General features: G+C 47.9%; 1 long non-coding RNA gene across 2 annotated transcripts in view; it reads right to left on the bottom strand.

Moving 5' to 3' along the window:
• Window positions 1–20,394, bottom strand: part of LOC107984281 (uncharacterized) — a 67,711-nt gene that overhangs the window by 36,246 nt on the left and 11,071 nt on the right. The window contains exons 2-3 of one of the 2 annotated variants that reach the window (NR_186705.1): window positions 13,775–14,132; window positions 7,047–7,172 (exon numbers count right to left, since the gene is read on the bottom strand). This is a non-coding gene — a long non-coding RNA (uncharacterized LOC107984281). Of the gene's footprint in view, window positions 1–7,046; window positions 7,173–13,774; window positions 14,133–14,528; window positions 16,494–20,394 lie in introns of those variants that run through there. The other variant, NR_186702.1, reaches the window with a different exon arrangement.

Here is a 20,394-nt window from a genome sequence, read left to right as displayed (position 1 = left end):
AATCCACCTCACTCCACCCTGGGCGACTAACCTTCTGAATTTTGTTTCATCATGGATCAGCTAGGCATCTTCCAGAACATCACATAAATGAAATGCGATGAAGTGAAAAGCGTTTGTACCTCTGTGTTTAGCTTCTTTCACTCAGCATAACGCCTATGAAATTCATCTATGTTGTTGCATACATACATAGCTCATTTCTTTTTAGTTGAGTAGTATTCCATCGTATGAACATAACAAGATTGTTTATCCATTCTTCTGTTGGGTGCCGTTCAGTTGTTTCTCATTTTTGGTTATTATAAATACGGTTTGCCAAGGTATTCTGAATTTGTTCTTTTCCAAGCTTGCTTCACTCCTCTCAGTTCTTCGCATTTTCAGAGGCGGCTTTTAATTTTTTTGTCAGTACCTATAAAAGCCTGCTGGGATTGTGACTGGAACTGCTTTGAAATTTTAGGTTAATTTGGGGAAGAAATGACCACTTAATAAGATTGACTTTCCAATCCATGAACATTGTTTATCTCTCCATTTGTGTTTTCTTCAACTTCTCTAAGGAAGGTTTTGTGGGTCTCAGTACAGAGGTCTTACACATCATGTATTACATCCCTTGCTAAGCATTTTGGTTTTTATGCTATTATAAACAGTGTTGCTTTAAAATTTTCTATATTTCCAGTTGTTTGTTGACAGTAAATAGAAATGCCGTTGGTTTTTGCATATTGGTATTATATCCAATGACCTGGCTAAATATACTTAGTTTTTCCCTTGTTGATTCATTCACATTTTTATGTAAACAATCAAGTCATCTGCAAATAGTAGCAGTTTTACTTTTTCCTTTCCCCAACATTATGAATTTTGGTTTACTTGTTTCATTGCGCAGCCTGGCATGTCAGGTACAATGTTAAACGGAAGTGAGGAGAGCAGGCACACTGGCTGTGCCCCCATCTCAGAGGAAAAGCACGGCAATGTTTCACCATTAAGTATACTATCTGTGGACTTTTCATAGGTGACTTTTATCAGATTAGGATAGTTCCCATTTACAGTTTGCTGAGAAATTATAATAAAGGAGTGTTGAATTTCATCAAATATTTTTTCTACATCTACTGAGATGATTGTTTTTTTCTCCTTTATTATTCTGTTAATGTGTCAAATTACATTGACTGATTTCCAGACCCTAAACAAACCTTGCATTCCTGGGATAAACCCACTTGTTCATTGCTTGATTTGATTTCCTTTGCTAATATTTTGTAAAATATTTTTTTCATTTCTGTACATAAAAATATTGACATATCTTTTTTCTCAATATCTTGGTTAGGTTTTGGTACCAGGTTTATGACATAATCTTTCAAATCTGTTTTATTCAAATGTAACTACGTGTAACTTAAATGTAGATACAGACAGAAAGGAGAAAGGGCAGTCATGTCTCAGTGTTATTAGAATGAAAATATGTTTTTGCCATTGGGAAAACTGTTCTGGTCTGATGGAAGGAAGAGAAGGATAAAGCTGAACGAGGAGGAAAGGTGGGAATGAGGAGCTCAGAGCTGACGAGGCACGGCCAGTGGTTTAGGGCTCCTCACTTCTCCATTTATGATGCCTGACCTTGAACTTCACTGTCTTCTCAAAATGTTTCTTATTAGATTTTGGTTTTCAAGTTACAATCAAAGTCATTGGGAAATAGATTAATAATTGCTTTTAAAAATTAGGTCTAGAAATCAGCTGAAATAAGCCTATCAAATACTGTCTATAAAACAGCATTTTAAAGGTGATTGGAACAAACAGAGCTACCCCATTTAGCATCGCTGCCTATCAAGGGCCTGCCATGCCTGTGCAGTGCTGGCCGTTGGCTGGCGCCTGGGGGCAGTGACCAAGGGAGACACTGCTTTGCTTCTCAGGAGCCTGGAGCCCAGCAGGAAGACAAAAGGGAGGAGGCCCTGCCCTGGCAGGACTGGGAGGGCAGGTGTGGAGGCAGAGTGGTGCTGGAGGTGAGGTACAATGCAGCCAGCTGCATGGGAGAGGTGAGCAGGAGCAGCAGGACACCGTGACGGACAGTTGAACCAACTAAGGACCCTGGCGAGCTGAAGACGGCCCGAGGGATCACCACTATCTTCTGGGCCAGATGTGCCTGCCCTTCCGACATCCCACCCTGCGGGCTTTCAAAGCTCAGGCTGTCGAATGCAGACACCACAGCAACCCACTCTGCAGTTGCTAAGGTAACCACACTCTAATATAAGTAACAGAGTGAAATTAATCAGGGCCTGTAACTTGGGTAACTTCCTCATGCACCAGCGTAGCGTCTTTCTGTGGTGACAATGTGGGCAAGCCTTGTGCTCTCGTCCAATTTTTGAGTGTGAAAAAAATCACCAGGGCAATGGCACTGAGTACGCTGAGTTTGAATTGGGGTGACCAAGTCCACGCAGGCAGGGGCCATTCATTCTGGGGATGAAGGGCACCTTTGAAGAAGGGCAGATTTTGTCATCTGCTATCGGCCTTCTGTTTCTAAATTTGATCCCATCTTAAAACTTGCAAGATAGTAGATTACGAGGCACTTCCCAGTCTGACCTAAACCCCACTGCCTGTGCTCTCTTCATAGCAGAGCCATGATGTGAAATGTTATTACGGACTTTCTTCTTCATTATCTTCTCCACTAGAATGTAAACCCCACTGGGGCAGGGACTTCATGGTTATATCCCCAGACCCCAGAACAGTGCCTGGCCCATGGCAGGCTTGCAAATGCTTGTTGGAGGAATAAATGAATCCACTGGCGTATAAAATGGCAATTGTTGAATTTTATAGATTGAGAGTCCCTTTGAAAGTATCCAGTTCAATCCCTGGATACGGCTGACAGCACGAGAGACTTGGAGTCAAAAAAAGCCGGATTCAAGCCCTTCTGATGACAAGCATCTATGGGCCTTGGTGAGTTTTATATCCCAGCCTCAGTCTCCCTGTTGTAAAGTGGATGTAACAGGCCTGGCCTCACAGGCCTCTGGAGGACTAAGCGAGAAAACACGTCAAGGTGTTACTGAGGTTCTATGCGGGTGTGACGTGGCAGTTAGGATTTTAATGTGGAGAGAAAGAATCTGTCCACAAAAACCACGTGGCAGATCTGGCCCTTGTGGTCTGTGAAGAGGGTGGCTTTTGGAGGCTCAGGAGTGTTTTTTTTTTTTTTTTTTTTGGTATTGAAACTTAAAAAGGGATTAGAATTGCATTTTTAAAAACTGTTCAATAATGGAAGTTTCAATATCAGCTTAGGGAAACAAGTTTTGGGGGTGTACCATTTAATTTACGTGAATAAGTTATGTATGGAAGAATGTATGTTAACTCTTTCAGGACATAAGCCCAAAAGTCAACAGAAATTTGAATTTTTTTTTTCTATTTTCATGCTGAAATTTAATTCATCATGAATTTGTTTCCAAGGGTGAAATTTTCTTTCCTCAACTTTTACATGACTTTGTAATAAGAGCAGTTGTACGGGCTCACAAAAATAAAAGACGGATGATGGAGTAGAGATGTTCAGTGTAAATATTTAGTACAGGGGCTGGCGGCTTTTAAATTTGCATCTTGAGCTGAGTGTATCTGCTGATTTCCCATCTGCTAATATTTTCCCATCTGCTAAATACCTGCTACCAGGGGAAGAGGACGTCTCTGTCTTTCTGGCCTTGCTTAACCTCCATGTCCCCTTCACCTGAACTTGGAAATAGCTCCACTGTGTTCAGGAGAGCACAGGCAGACACACTCTGGCTCTGACCAGTGGCAACAGTGATGACCCAGGAGCACCACTGCAGAAGCTCGGTTAACCCAGGGGGCTCATCTTCCTCCAAAGGCCACCCTGGGGTCTCTTTCTGCCTCCATGGAGCTAGAAACCCAGGAAACAGCAGCTCTCTGAGGACTCAAGGCCAGCACTAGAGAAGAGGGTCTGTCTTTCAAACATCCGCTGCAAACAAGACAGCCCAAATAGTGCACTTAGGAGCTGCAGGCTTTGGGGTAGGGAGGCAGAGACGCGGCTGGGCAGTAGGAAGCCAGCAGGGACGGTGGGCCAGGTCTCCTTGCTTCTGCAGTCACCCAGGGAAGATCCTTGTGCTCAGGGGGGATTTGGCTTTGGTGCCCAGGAAAGGACTGGAGCCTCATCCCCTCACACACTGACTCCCTCCCCTGGTCTGCACCATCTCCCACAACAGGATGGGAGGTTGCATGGAGCATAATGTCAGCACTGGCCCCTCTGCCCGGGGTCCCTCACGTGCTCATTCTGGCTCCAAATGGAGGCTGTGTGCGAGTTACGGAACTCACGCAGCCTCTGCTCGCAATTTCCACCAGGAAGAGCTGCTCCTTTTTCACTTTTAAACCCCAAGTAGGGCTAAAGAGCTCTCAGCCGCTCCCTTCTAGAGGGCCCGGGAATGGCCAGCCAGGAACGCGGCTCTCCCGCGGCCACGGGAATGCCTGCTCTCTAGTGTCCCGACGAGCCCACAGGCAGGCCCCAGGAACAAAGAATGAAATGGCCCCAAAGAGCAAGAGTTACATTTCATGCTTAAAATCAAGGCCATCCCATGAGGAGCCAACCACGGAGACTCTTGATTGATGGCGGAGAATAATTATTCTCAGTGTTGCTGCGAGCTTGCCTTCGTAGAAAGCCAGAGATGAATAAAATATATGAGAGCATATCAAAATATAGTGCAAGGACAACATATACAAACAGTACGTTAAGCATTATGGAAGACAATAAACGGAGCTGGAAAACACATCCGAGTTAGCGCTGGGCCCGGAATCCGTGTGCATCTGCGCGAATGGGAAGCAGCGCCGCAGACGTCTCTGTGTGGCCCCTTCGGTCCTGGGAATACTTCATTAGTTGGAAAATCTGAGCAGATTAATTTCTACCGCCGCCTCCTTCCTGAAGGACAGGTTCCTGGGTGCACAGCGCGGCTGCGGCTGCTCCTCTGCCGCCAGGCCCCGGGCTTCCCTCCACACGCAGAGTGCAGTGTCAACAGAAATGCTACAGTGACATTTCTCTCTCTCTCAATTACTTGTAGGCTTTTCACTGCCTGTATAAAATACATATTGTGCTCCAGCGAGATCCATTGTACCGAGGTCAGCGGGAACTCATTGTCCTTTTTAGCTTCAGAACAAGACAATACTGACATCTGTAAGATTTGCTGTAAATAATCCAAGTGGTATAGGTACCGGGTCAGGGGCAGGAGAGGGTAAAAAAGAAAGGAGGAGGGAAGGAAAAGAGGAAGGAAGAGGGAGGGGGTGAGGTGGGGTGAGGTGGGGAGAAGGGGAGAGGGGAGAGGGAAGAGGGAGGCAGAAAGGTGTTGTGAAATTTACTGAATGCTAAATCATTCCGCATCCTGAATTGGTCATGGGAAGGCTTCACCAAATCGTTTGCATCATTTCAGGGAAAAATAAATATTTGGCAAATACCTACAGGACAGCATCGGCTTGCATGCCTACTGCAGATGGCCTTTGCTCCCAGGGCAGGATTTATCCTGCAAACCATCGCACCAGAGAGCCCTAGGTGCAGGGGCTGTGCCCAGCCCTCCAGCAGAGCCACACATGTGGAGCTCCGGTGCATGGCCTCGAATTCTAATTGGGATGGCAGAAGTCTATGATTCTGATTAAGTGCAACGGAGTCATTTACTTGACAGTTCAAATCAATAAGTTAAAATGGGGTGGGGGTGGGGGAACAACCTGCACAGTCAAAGATTCGAGAAGCAGAAAGGCCTACTGGGTGCCGGCTTTGCCCTGAACCGCCTGCCTTTTAAGTCGGTGTGTGAGAAAATCAAAAGCGTATTTGACAACCAGTCAGGGAGAAGCTCTTCTCCGAAGGAGAGATTTTTCATGGAAAAGAAAATTTGGCGACAGGCAGGGGACTGTGCCCGGGATGATAAATGAGGGAGAGAAATACTAATGGAGACTCCGTGCAGGCAGAAGTGAGACTCCTGGAAGCCCACTTGTCTTTTTCTTCTCTACCTGTGTAAGAGGCAGAGACCGTGCATGCATGTGCGAGTGTGCACGTGTAGGAGGGAGAGATGGAGCGTGTGTGCGTGAATGTGTAACAGGCTGAGACCAAGTGTGTGTGCATGTGTGTATGAGGCAGAGACCAAGTGTGTGTGTGTGAATGTGCATGCGTTGTGTTGGTGGGACACACAGTGTGTGCACATGTGTGCATGTGTGTGCCTGTCCCAACACACTTCTCCAGTCCCTGGTTTGAGACCCTGTCCGGGGGTGGATAGAGAGAGAGCTGCTGATGAACTTGGCTTCCAGTACAAATGCGGCTGCTTCTCTGGGTGGGAGGCGATCGCCACACTTCCTCAGTCATGGACAGTGCTGATTTTGAGGCTGGCCCAGCAATAAATTCATTTCCACTCGGGACTTTTACCCTTAAAGACAAAATCTCTTCAGCCTGTACCTTTTCCCTTCGGTCATATCCAGAAAAGTGAGCATGTGATTTCAATTTGAAATTAAAAGTCATGTCTGAATAACAGAACTGCATTCTCATTTCCTAATACCCTGGTTTTTACTACTTTGCATTCAACTGTGAAAAGTCTTTTAAAACTCGGAACAGCAGTAAAACTTGAATGAATTTTTGACCCATTATTGCATAGCGGGTGCGCCTTCCAAGTTGGAGAGACTGCCAAGTTCTCACCACCTAATATTTCCACTTTAATTGTGCCACTTGAGAAATTTACGTGCCTCAAAATATGGCATGAATCTTACGCTTATTGCAGTATCATTAGCAGCAACATTTAAGCAACATCTGTGTGCCATAGAACTAATTGAAGTAGCAGAAGTGGCAGCTGTAAATCCACAGGAAGATGGCAGTTTGTACCCAGCACTGCTGAGCTAGCTCCTAACTGTCAGCCTGTTCCTGCAATCTGCTCTCGAGTGCGGCAGTACAGGCACACAATGTCCAAAAAAATACAGCGAGTAGGCTAATGATCCTATTAACCACTTTGCTGCACCAATTTGGCTGTTTTTCCAGTTTCCTTGTTGAATTTCATTATAAGTTTTGCCATTCCTGTAAAAAGTCCAGTATGAGACATGTCTGACTTTAAACTACTTACCTGAGCCGAGAAACACTCGTCTGGCCAGGCCAAACTGAGGATTGATTTTTTTTTTATTATTTAATAATTCTTCCCACCACACCCCGGCTCCTTTCAATTGCTTAAAATTTTTTCACACACACATTTCTGTAAAACAAAAGAAAACAAAGCATTTAAATCTCTTGTAATGTTGATATTTAAAGAAATGGCATTTTCTTCCCATGGACATAACATTTTCAGTAATCAATACAAGATGGCAGCCCTAATTTATTATTGGTGGGGAGTGGAGGAAGAGGGCAGAGATGGTGAGGATCTCCCAGAGTCTGCTGAGGTATAGATGCGGTCAGCTTATCTGAGAGCCTGTGTCATCCCTCCACTACACAGTGGTTTGGACCCAAAATGCATTGACTGTTTTTCTTCAATGTGAAGAAAAATGAGGCTGATTCTCCCGCACAGAGTGCAAGCTAAGTTGGGAGCAAGGAAAGACCCTGGTGCCTCTTGTTGCAGAGAAACGAGGACTTAGGAGCCCCTGCTTTCCTTCCGAATATCCCCCCATTAAGCACAACTGGAAAAAACATTTCCAACACCTCCAAGAAAACCCAGCCCCATTTTGGTTTTAACTCTGCTTTTGCTTGTGTTTGTCTTGGCAGGGGACGGATGTTTCTCCCTTGGTGCCTGGCCCTCAGACAATGATGTAACTGGTATCTTTCGAAGCACTCAAGAGTGCTGGAAATACACAAAAGAAGACCTCCTTCAATATATGATGACTGGTGTGTTTGCCAACAACCCAACTTCATTAGAAAATTGGCACGTCCACCCAGCTGCCATGTGACACGCCGTTAACTCCGGACATTTGTTGTCTTAATGCTCAAGTACTCAGGGACTCAACTGATAAGGGAGAAACTGTTTGGAATCCACTGAACCCCACGCCTAGGGTGGCCGCCACCTCATGGTATTGAAAATCAATAGCCACATGACTGCTGAAAGGTTGGAGGCCTCCAGAATTAACTTCCTAGTACTAAATTACCATCCCTTCTTTCTTGGTTTATTTTCTAACAATAATACATTTTAAGGGCGCCTGGTTAAAAACCACTTACGAAACACACAACGAAGAAAACTGAATCACTGGCGAACAGCTGCCAGTTCCTCCCCCCAGCCCAGCGAACATGAGGATGAACGATGCTGACAGCTCCCTCGGCCTGCAGCCTGGGTTTGTTTCTTCAAAAAAATCTCGTTCTTTTTTGGTGGTGGTGTTTTAATCTTTATGGAAAAGGGTAAGCTTGTTTAGAAGCGATCCATCTCTGACTTACCAAATAATGCAGCTTAGTAATAAGTTGGGCACCACCACTGCCCTGGGATGCTGTCTCAAATGCCACATCACAGAAGGGAGACTCGGGAGAAGGGGAGGCTTGTGGCATTTCACTGTAGTTGAGAAATAAGCTCCCGTGGCTAACGATGTGGCATCATTTATTTAAGTTTTGAATTTCAATAGCTTTTGGGGTACAAGTGGTTTTTGGTTTCATGGATGAATTACAGAGCGGTGAATTCTGAGATTTTATTGCACCCATCACCCGAGTGGTGTCCGTTGTACCTAATGTGTAGTTTTTTCTTTTTTTTTTTTTCATCCCTAGCCTGCTTCCCACCCTCCCGCTTCTGAGTCTCTAAAGTCCGTATCACTCTGTATGCCTTTGTGGATTCATAGCTTAGCTCCCACTTATAAGCGAGAATGTATGGTTTTTAGTTTTCACTCCTGGGTTACTTCACTTAGAATAATGGCTTCCAGCTCCACCCAAGTTGCTGCAAAATACATTATTTCATTCCTTTTAACGGCTCAGTAGTATTCCATGGTGTATAGACACCACATTTTCCTTATCCACTTATTGGTTGATGGGCACTTAGGTTGGTTCCACATCTTTGCAATTGTGAATTGCACTGCTATAAACATATGTGTGCAAGTGTCTTTTTCATATAATGACTTCTTTTCCTTTGGGTTGATACCCAGGAGTGGGATTGCTGGATCGAATGGTAGATCTGCTTTTAGTTCTGTAGGGAATCTCCATACTGTTTTCCATAGTGGTTGTACTAATTGACCTTCCCACCAGCAGTGTAGAAGCATTCCCTTTCCCCACCCACACCAACAGCTTTTGTTTTTTAAACTTTAATAATGCCCATACTTGCGGGGTTAGGTGGTATCTCGTGGTTTTAATGTGCATTTCCCTGATGACTAGTGACGCTGAGCATTTTTTCATAGTTTTTTGGCCATTTGTGTATCTTCTTTTGAGAAATGTCTATTCGTGTCCTTTGCCCACTTTTTAATTAGATTGTTTTCTTTCTTGGTGATTTGTTAGAGTTCCTCGTAGATTCTGGATAGTAGTCCTTTGTATCCAGATGCGTAACTTGAAAATATTTTCTCCCATTCTGCGGGTTATCTGTTACTCTGCTGATTATTTCTTTTGGGTAACATCATTTTCTTTGGATGTAACTCTGGTAGGAAATTCTTAAGCATGAATGTCCCCCACTGCCCTTTTTAGAACGTGTGCTCTCTTCACCTTTATACTCATAAATATTGAGGTGGTCAATAATAGATATGTGGTTTCCATCTGTTGATAGCATACTAGAAAATGAAACTGAGAAATAAAAAGTATTAAAAATAATAAAACACTATTAACAAGCAGCATATATAATTTTAAAAACTGTATTTTTCCATAGCAAAATAAATTAGTAAGAAAAGTGGGCATGAGTTTTTTTTTTTTTTTTTTTTTTTAGACAGAGTCTCACTGGAGTGCAGTGGTGCAATCTCGGCTCACCACAACCTCCGCCTCCCAGGTTCAAGAGATTCTCCTGCCTCAGCCTCCCGAGTAGCTGGGATTACAGGCATACACCACCACGCCCGGCTAATTTTTGTATTTTTAGTAGAGACAGGGTTTCACCATGTTGGCCAGGCTGGTCTCGAGCTCTGACCTCAGGTGATCTGCCTGCCTTGGCCTCCCAAACTGCTGGGATTACAGGTATGAGCCACTGTGCCCTGCCTTGACTCATTTTTGAGAAAGGGTCTAGCAAACACCAGTCTCAGTAACCATCAGGCACTGGCGGGTCTTTTAATGTGAAGTTTGCTGAAAGTGTGGCCTTTGGAAGGGCTGGAGGCTCCTTCCCAGGCAGCAGCGTCCCTCCACTGAACCCCTTCTTCCACAGGCTCTCCTGAGAATTTCCTCCCAGGCCTGAAGGGCTCTTTGGGGCATTGGGTAAGTGATACTTCATAACCTTTGCCCTTTGCACCGGGTCCATGCACGAAGCCTGTGATTGGGGTGAGGTTATCTATCTAGATATGTTGCATCCCATCTTGCTCTGCTGCAGATCTGAATACTCTTGGGGCCAAGCCTTATTCTCCAAAACCCAGGCCCTGCAGGTAGGGGATCCCAAAGCCAAAGCCCTTGTGAGGTGGCGTTGGACTTGTTCTTGTCACCTGCTGACACATCTGGTCCTGCGAGAAGGAAGTGGATTCTAGAAGCAGTGCCTGTTCCGGAGCAGCTGCCTTGCTGAGTGACAGGGTGCACCCAGCGGCAGCTGCACAGCTTCTCAAGCTACCGGATCCTGCTCTTTGCCAAAGAGGACCTGAGGCTCCTCCCGGGATAGGAGGGTCCGGGCTCTGCCCACTGCTCCCGGTCACCCTCTGCCTCTGCACAGGGCACCCCAGGGCCTGTGGAGGGGATGTCCACAATGTTGGCAGAGCCTGGGTCCTTCGCCAGCTGGAGCTCTGCTCAGCCACTGAGCTGGGAGGAAACAACCCCTTGCCCAGAGCTGGCTGGAGGGGTCAGCACGCACAGCTGCTGGAGTTACCCTCTGCACCAAGTATCACCAGAAACGGGCATGCTGCTGTCCTGGACAGCGGCCTCATGACCTGCTTACATTTTTAAAAACTTGTGAAATATCTGAAACAAAAAAGCAAATATGTGTAAAATATATATGAAATATATTCTGTAAAATAATGTTTGACTCCAGTGCACACACAACCCAATTCAAAACCAGATCAACTTCCTGCTGATCTGATGGCCTGCCCTCCGCCTTGGCCCAGAGGGAACAGTTTATGTTTTTATTGATCATTCCCTTGCCTTTTAAAAGGGTTTATCATATATATGTGTATAATTGTGTGTATACATTTATTTCAAGAGATACATTTTCTTTAAGGCTTGTCTGTGAGATTTATAAACTAGTCTTCCACCACATGTAATCTCCTACAGCTTACTTGGTTGACGCTTCAAATCTCTCAGCTTCATTCATGCCATGGCTCCAATTGTTCATGTTCTCAGCTGCATAGTATTCCATCATGTGAACATGCCACTCTGCATTTCTTCGTTTTTCTTCATACAGATGTTTGGGTTGATTACGGTTTTTCATAAACAGCTGTGCTGTGGATGGCACTCCTGCAGCTGGTGCCTGTGCACACGTGCAGAGCTTCTCTAGGGGAATGTGCTCGGGAGAGGAATGGCTGCTCAGAGGGCGGGGGTATCCTGAACTCCATGGGATGATACCAAGTGACCATCCAACATCCTTCTTGGAACATTTAACCAGAGTGAGCTCTAAGTGTGCATGGGTATTTGTAGGGGATCTAGGCTTGACTCTAGAACGATAAGGAAGGGGCGTCATTACCTAGCAGGATCAGCACAGATGTTGGGGTGATGGACTCAGGCCCTAGTCTAGACATCCTGGTGAAAAGTGAGGTGATTCAGGGCAAAGCACTTACCTGTCCTGGGATGGCGGAGATACAGTATCTAACAGGATGTTGTGGGCGTCAGGGGTCTCAATATATGTGGAGGTGCTTGATCAAGAGCAGACATGTTGGCTTTTGTTGATGATGTTACCTGTTTCCTAAAACACTTGCTAAAGATGCCAGTGCCCTGATGTAGAGACCAACACGAGGAAAGTGGCCTGATCAGACCACGCCAAGCTGTTCACACCCCCTTGAGAGTCCTGGGCTGATCATTCAGGCTTGACAGCAGCATGAGGAGCACAAAAGACTGAAATGAGCAGCTCCTAGAGGACGCCTCCCCCAGTGCTGGACGGCACGGGGGTTCTCTCTCGGAACCAAGGCCTGGCCAGGCCGTGCCCAGCACACCCACTACCTGGCTTTTCACTTCTGTTGTGACTCAGTTGTTTTCTGCACCATTTGGTCACAAATTCTGTTTTCATTTTTTTTCTTCTTTGAGACAGAGTCTCACTCAGTCACCCGAGCTGGAGTTCAGTAGCGTGATCTGGGCTCACTGCAACCTCTGCCTCCCAGGTTCAAACTATTCTCCTGCCTCAGCCTTCTGAGTAGCTAAGACTACAGGCACATGTCATCATGCCTGGCTAATGTTTTGTATTTTTAGTACTAATGGGGTTTCAACATGTTGGCCAGGCTGGTCTCAAACTCCTGACCTCGGATGATCCACCTGTCTCAGCCTCCCAAAGTGCTGCGATTACGGGCATGAGCCACCGTGTCAGGCCCCCAAATTCTTTTTTTTTTTTTTTAATAACTTAAAACAGTTCTTTTCAGAAATGCTTTTCTCCAGCTGGTTTGTCAGAACCACATTCCTGCAAGGTTGGGCCAGAATGCTGTGCCCCGAGCAGCTCCATCTACTCTGCCAACAGCAGCCCTCCAGCCTCTGCGGGAAGCACGCCTCCCCACGCCAACACCCTGTAGACTCCTGGCCCCGTGGACTGTCAGGCAGTTATTTTGGCCTGGGACGTGGCTCTGCTAACTGGCTGCTGTGTTTTTCCAGTTGTGAGAAGAGCTTCCAGGGGAGTTCTTCAGATAATCATCATCTTGATCTTAAATGTAAATATTGTCACCGTGGTTTAAAGAGAGATTAATGATTTGCCGACAGCTCCATACATCCTTAGGAAGTGAACACTTGATTGTCTATCTTATTTCCAATAATACTAGAGGAAAAGGCACACCCTACAGGTGGCTGCAGGTGCCACCGGAGCTTGGAGCGAGTGAAGGCCGAGCCTCGGACTCGGGTATCATTTCTGAATAGCTCGCCAACTGTGAAGGAAGTTCTGCGGTTCTCTGTCACGGAGGAAAACAGCAGTGAGTGCCATCCGCCAGGCTGTGTGCCAGGTGTCCCGTAATCCCGTCTTTACCTTCTGGAGGAGCTGCGAGGCGGCGTCATTAGCTCCGTTTCAGAGAAGAGAAGGCGGAGGGCAAAGCAGGTTTGCTGAGGCATGGCCAGTCATGGGCAGTGTCCAGAGCCAAACCCGGGGCTTGCCACATCCGGCTCCCCTGACCTCGGCCACCACCAGTCTGTGGAAGCCCAGGCACTCCCAGGGGGAAGCTCCAGCCCTCAGGCCATGTCAGCACCTCCCTGTGGCTCCGACGGGCTCTGAGCCCATGGTCCCCTGACCTGGCTGCCCCTGCCTCAAGGTGCCGGGGTAGCAAGGCAGATGGCCCCTGGATAGTTCCCTTTTTGTTGTCCCCACGTGGCCTACAGCTGGCTAAGCAGGGCAGGGTGTGTGGCCGGCAGCCCTGGGGCTTCAGAACAGGTGTCTCAATTATGCCACCGCCTCCAAGACCCATCCCTCCTGATGCAGCCAGGCCCGCGGCTCTACCAGGGACACTGTGCGAGCATCAATGCCGGGAGGACTGGGACATTACACTCTACATCTGAATTTCTTATATTTTCCAAGTGTTCTACACTAATTAGTTAGTTCTGTTAGCTCTAAGGATTAGTAGCTTCTCTAACAAGACACAGCGACATTAAGTGACTTACCTAATTATGTAAAACACGGGGACACTAGACGAGAAGGCAAGCTTTCCTCGAGCTGGGCTCAGGCCTGCTCCGCCCCACTGCAGCGCCCATCCGTCTTCTTTCTCTGGGTCCCCAGGGCACAGGAAACAGGAACCGCAGGTCTGGCCTCAGAGACTACTCCACACGGAGTGTTGCCACACCTACGTCCTCGGGCCTGCCCTCCTTACGGCCTGCCTCCTTGGCCAGGACCACAGGGCCTCTCAGATGCTTCCTGGACAGAGGAGCTGACTTGAAAGAGAGCCTGTCCCAGGGCAGTAGGTGCTGGGCAGGCCTGGAGGCTCCATCACATGTGGCCGGGGTGCTGGGCCCACTGTGTCCCCTGTGAAAGAGAGTAGATGACCACCACGTCCTGCTGTCCTCTGACTGGTCACCATCTGAAATGTCACTAAGAACTGGCCCCACATTGCCTGTGCTCATGGCAAAGGGGTCTGCCCTCTCCCAGCCTGGCCCTCCAGTCCCCAAGTCTCATCTTGTAGGGACCGTGGCACCTGGGCCCTCCTCTCCTCTTCCCTGGAGTCCAGTTGCTTCTTTTACTCAAGATGCCCTCTATGTCCTGCCCAGCTCCAGCTGATGCAGTTTGATTGCCACCTCCTTCAGGACGCCCCTCTTCATTTTCTAGTTCACCCTTTCCCCTCCCTCTGAGACCTCACAGCCCTGAAGTGATACTGCATTTATGTTGATGTGCTATCTGATGACAGGCTGGGCATGACCTCACCTGGAGTATTTGTGCTCAGCTGCCCTGCAAGTGGAGAGGCGAAGCTGATAAACAGCTGGTCAAGCACGTGACACCAGTCACGTGGTCAGATGCGTGGGCCCATGCTGTCTTCTTAGTACATGTGTCAGGGTCCTTCCTCTTCACCCAGTAAGTGTGTTCTTTTATGATTACAAACATAATGCATTTCCATGGCAAAAATTGAGAATGTACAGTTAAGCACACAAAAAATGAAGTGATTTCCTCGTGCTGAGATAATCACTGAAGCACCTTGCTCTGCAGATGGTCTTTTTAAAAAATGTTACAACATGGCCATATATATAGTTTTAAAACACAATCATGGATCATATTTTCAAAGTGATAACAACTATTTCTTTCTTAGAAAATAAAGACATTTTTATAAGAGTTGAATAACTCTGAAAAGCAACACAACACACACACAGACACACTCACTCACAGACACACAAAGCAATTCTTCCCAACTCACTCACACACAGGCCCACACACCAAAGCGACTCTGCACAACTCACTCACACACAGGCCCACACACCAAAGTAATTCTCCCCAACTCACTCACACATAGGCACACAACCAAAGCAGCTCTCTCCAACTGTCCAACTTCCACTAAGATGTCTTCCTGCAAATAATCTGATGATCTCTCTTCCACAATTTTATGTCTGTAAGCACAATTTAAAAATTTAGTTTAATAAAACACCACTGATCGTACCTGATGTTTTCTTTTCTTTTTTTTTTTTTGAGACAGAGTCTTGCTCTGTCACCCAGGCTGGAGTGCAGTGGTGCGATCTCGGCTCACTGCAAGCTCTGCCTCCCAGGTTCATGTCATTCTCCTGCCTCAGCCTCCCAAGTAGCTGAGACTACAGGCGCCCGCCACCATGCCCAGCTAATTTTTTTTTGTATTTTTAGTAGAGACGGGGTTTCACCGTGTCAGCCAGGATGGTCTCGATCTCCTGACTTTGTGATCTGCCCGCCTCGGCCTCCCAAAGTGCTGGGATTACAGACGTGAGCCACCGCACCCAGCCTGATGTTTTCTTATATGCCTTTTTCACTCAGCAGTGAGTCATGACTACCTTCCCATGTCAGTAAATAGAGGGCTACTCTACCACGTTTAATAGCAGAATTGTTCTGTGTTGTGTGGACATATTTACTGGGATGTATCCAGCCAACCCCATGCCCATGGGACATTTGTGCTGTTCCCCATTTGTTGCTGTTACAAACAACAGTGCCATGTGTATCCTTGTAGCTACAGCCTTATATACTCATGGAAATAACTCTGTAGAATAGATTCCTAAAAGTGGAATTGTTTGGTCAAATGGCATAGGCATTTACCATTTTAATCAATACTGCCTCACTACCCTCCAAAAACATGCCAACATTACTACCAACAGTGAATGCCTGCCCCTTCTCTACACTGTGGACAAAGAATTACACGTCGTTTGCATTTTTCACCCAGATCACAACAAAATGCTATCTCCTGCTTTAATTTGTCATGCTATGATCACTCGTGAGGTGGGAGGTCCCCTGGAGGTCACTCCAGGTGATCACTCTCAAGCTTACTGGGTCCTTCTGCTGCTCTTTCTAGAGGCTTCCAGCTGCTGCTTGTATGTTTCCCTTTACGAAGTGCCTGTCTATATTCCTTGCTCATCTATCTTCTGGGTGGTTTGCCTTTTCCTTATTGATTTGTAGAAGTTTTTTATATATTGTGGACACAATCTTTCTGTCTTACATGTTGCCAATGGTTTCTCCTAGGGTACCATTTGTCTTCTGTTTCCAACAGGTTCATGAGGTCAGGCAAGTCAACCTTCTTCTTTATGACTTCTGAGTTCTTTTTTTTTGAGATGGAGTCTCGCTGTGTCACCCAGGCTAGAGTGCTGGAGTGCAGTGGCTCGATCTCGGCTCACTGCAAGCTCCACCTCCCGGGTCCACGCCATTCTCCTGCCTCATCCTCCCGAGTAGCTGGGACTACAGGCGCCCGCCACTACGCCCAGCTAATTTTTTCTATTTTTTAGTAGAGATGGGGTTTCACTGTGTTAGCCAGGATGGTCTCGATCTCCTGACCTCGTGATCCGCCCACCTTTGCCTCCCAGAGTGCTCGGATTACAGGCGTGAGCCACTGTGCCCGGCCAGCTTCTGAGTTCTTGCCGTGTTCTCAGGCACTTCCTGCAAATGCAGACATGGATGCATGTTTCTCCTATTTTCAGCTGATACAGTAACAGTTAAAACCCAATTTAACAAATGTTTAGAACCCTAAGGTTTCTGGAATTGCGTTATTTCCAAATAGCTTGGCCAGTTTGTCCTGATACCATGTATTAAATGACTCCTTTCCCCACGGAACTGAAATGCCATATGATGACATCCTGAGATTCCACAGACCTGTGGCTGTTTCTGGACGGGCCAGTTGGCTCCATTGATCTACTTATGTCTGTTGTGGCATTGGCCCTACAATGCTTTATTTACAGTGGCTTTAGGATTCATTTTGATGCCATTAGTATTAAAAATGTACCTTGCTGTTTTTGAGCAAATACATGTCCCCAGTGACCAAGCTTAGCTGTGAATGTTGTCGTGGACATCAGAGGCAGGCCTAGCCAGTGGGGGGCATGGGCTTTGGGAATCCTTATTTGTTGCTGCTTTTAAAAATGTGGCTCATAAATGCCCCTGGCATTTGCTGTCAGAGAGGCCCTTCTGAGTGTCCCTGACATAGGGCACAGTCTCGCAGGGTGGCCACCTTAAGCTGCAACCCCAGTTATAGGTTCGTCAAAGATCCAGTTGTGATGTTACACACCCATGCCAGGTGCACATCACAATCCCACGAACCTCCATGTTCAACAGCTTTCCATCCAGAAAAGACGCTGCATAAATTCCCCACCCTTCAGGGACGGCCTAGGGTACTGAAGTCAGTGGTCTGGGCATTACCCCGTCATACAAAATGACAGGCACGTTGCATGGGCAACGGAAAGAACTTTCCATTAAATGCCAAAGAAGACCTGCAGGGTGGACACGTGCCTGCTTTTCCTCAGGTGAGGCAGCTGTGGCTTCTGAGAGCAAATACATCCCTGAGGGTCCCACAGCTAGGAATTAGGGACTGGAACCTGGGCTTGTCTGATGCAAAAATCTAACCTGAAGCCGCCACCACAATCTGAGCACTCTGCACATGCCAGGAAGCCAAGGAGCCGCCACCACAATCTGAGCACTCTGCACATGCCAGGAAGCCAGGTCGCCTTCACTGGAACCTGGGTATGGCCTCGTGAGGGCGGCCGCTGCCATCCCTGTTCTGCAGGTGAGGTGGCTGCAGGAGCTCCTGGGGCTGCTGCAACAAATTCCACCAACTGGGGGGATGAAAGCAGCAGAAATGTCTTCTCCTACAGTTCTGGAGTTTGTAATCAGGTGCTGGCGGGACCAGACTCCCTCCGAAGGCGTGAGGGGAGCAGTCTCCTTTCCCTCCCCCAGCTGCTGGTGACTCCAGGTGTTTCTCAGCTGGTGGCTGCCATCACTTCCATCTCTGCCTCTGTCTTTGCATGGCTTTCTCCATTGCGTCTGTGTCTTCCCCTTTTCTCTTTTTTGGAGGCAGGGTTTTTTCTCTGTCGCCCAGGCTGGGGTACAGTGGTGTTATCATAGCTCACCGTAGCCTTGACCACCTGGGCTCAAGTGATCCTCCTCCATCTTCAGCCTTCTGAGTAGTTGGGACTACAGGTGTGTGCCACCTGCCTGGCCAATCTTTAAAGTATTTTTTAGAGAGACAAGGTCTTGCTAAGTTGCCCAGACTGGTTTCAACTCCTGGCTTTAAGTAATCCTCCTGCCTTGGCATCCCAAAGTATTAGGATCACAGGCGTGAGCTGCTGCATCCGGCCCTTTTCTGTCTATTATAAGGGCAACTGTCATTGGATTTAGGACCCACCAGGATAATCCAGCATGATCTCATCTTGAGCTCCTTAACGTAATCATATCTGGTAAGGCCCTTTTTCCAAATAAGATCACATTCACGGGTTCCAGGAATTTAATGTAGACCTCTCTGTGGGCCCCCATTCAATCCACTGCAGAAACCAAGGAATGGAGAGGTTATCCAGCCCGCACAAGAAGCTGTCTCTAAAGCAGATGTGCTGGACTCTGATCCTGAACCGAGCATGACTGCCCCATCCCCCACTCCCCACTGCAACGGGCCAAAGGTTCCCAATCTGTGGGGCTTCTGCAAAGGCAGGGCCCAAATGTGGCACTGTCTCTCTGAGCACTGAAACCTGAAGGCCACGATGGCTCCACTGCAGCCTGGGGGGAACCTGCGTGATGGAAGTCCATGCTGGTTGAGGCAAGCCAGGGGACCTGCTCAGGGAGTGGAGTTTCTGGGGGGCCTTCCTGGAGGAGGGAGGGGAAGAGGAGGAGGGAGAGGGGGAAGAGGAGGAGGGAGAGGGGGAAGAGGAGGAGGGAGAGGGGGAAGAGGAGGAGGGAGAGGGGGAAGAGGAGGAGGGAGAGGGGGAAGAGGAGGAGGGAGAGGGGGAAGAGGAGGAGGGAGAGGGGGGAGAGGGGGGGAAGAGGAGAAGGGAGAGGGGGAAGAGGAGAAGGGAGAGGGGGAAGAGGAGAAGGGAGAGGGGGAAGAGGAGAAGGGAGAGCAGGAAGAGGAGAAGGGAGAGCGGGAAGAGGAGAAGGGAGAGCGGGAAGAGGAGAAGGGAGAGGGGGAGGAGATGGCGGCTTCCATCCTTAGCCAGGAACGAACGAACTCGCAGCACCTGGCAGGCTCAGGCCCAGCACATGACAAACTTCCATCCTTTCCTTGTGAAAATCTGTTCATCTACATCTGAGACCAATTTGCTTGAAACTACAGAATACCTGTCATATTGCTTCCTGGCACAGCAGTCAGATGTTTGCTCGGAAAAATACAGGCAGCTACATACTTCTTGGTGCTGTACTATTTAGATGTGTCATTCTGTGTCTCAAAGAAGCAGCAGCTTCAAATAAATGAGTGTTCTCAGCTTGGCTCGAGTCCTCCTGGCCTGGAGACCGCGCAGGAGCTGGCCACCTCCCTCCAGCAGCTGAGCAGAACCCATGCTTGGCTTTTTCAACCATGGCTCGAATTCAGCGCCGACGCGGATGCACCCGGTGCCATCTCGGGCCCTTGGTCTTAAGTCACACTGAGGTCCAGACGTGGGTTCGTATGTTTGGGAACTGGGTCACGTGGCATCGTGGTCAGAGCATACAGTCCTCGACATAAACGACCACACGGGCACTCACGCCCACACTGCAGGGCGGTAAGCGGTGTGCAGCCCTGCGCTAGGAAGGAGCTGAGCTTCAGGGCAGCCCGCACTGGCTGGGTCCTAGGCAAGCGCAGCGTGGCGACCGTCTTGGCGTTCTGAAGTCAGGCGCATAAGGAGAGTGTTTTGATGTTGCTCCCTTTTTAGGAAGGGAGGAAGGGATTTAGAAGCTGCTGGAGGATGCAGTGCTCAGGTCTTCTCAGTGCTATCGGGGGACTCCGAATCGCTTTGTATTATGTGTAATTTGATTTTCTCATGAAATTATGTATAGTGTGTTGCAACAAATTTTTGTTGTTGATTTTTGAGCTGATTTTCCCTTTAAGTGGCTGAAAATAGGCCGTCTATGTTCCCCCAACACCCAATGCTTCTTGTGGGCTGCTGGGCACTGTGAGGACCACCAGCCAGGGACATGGGTGTTGGCACTCCCAGTGTGCAGGCGGGGCAGAGGCAGCAGGCGTGCTGTGTCCAAAGACTCCTGCCAGGCCTGCGCGTCCACCGGAAGACAGCAGCAGTGTGGAAAGCCACTGCTTCAGAAGCAGATGAGGCCTACGTGCCCACGGGCTTCATGTCTTCCATGGCTGAAAGCTTCATCTTCACAAAAAGCATTGAAG

Source organism: Homo sapiens, chromosome 10 (assembly GCF_000001405.40).
Source record: "Homo sapiens chromosome 10, GRCh38.p14 Primary Assembly".
Taxonomy (NCBI): domain Eukaryota; kingdom Metazoa; phylum Chordata; class Mammalia; order Primates; family Hominidae; genus Homo; species Homo sapiens.
This window is presented reverse-complemented; position numbering and strand designations above follow the sequence as displayed.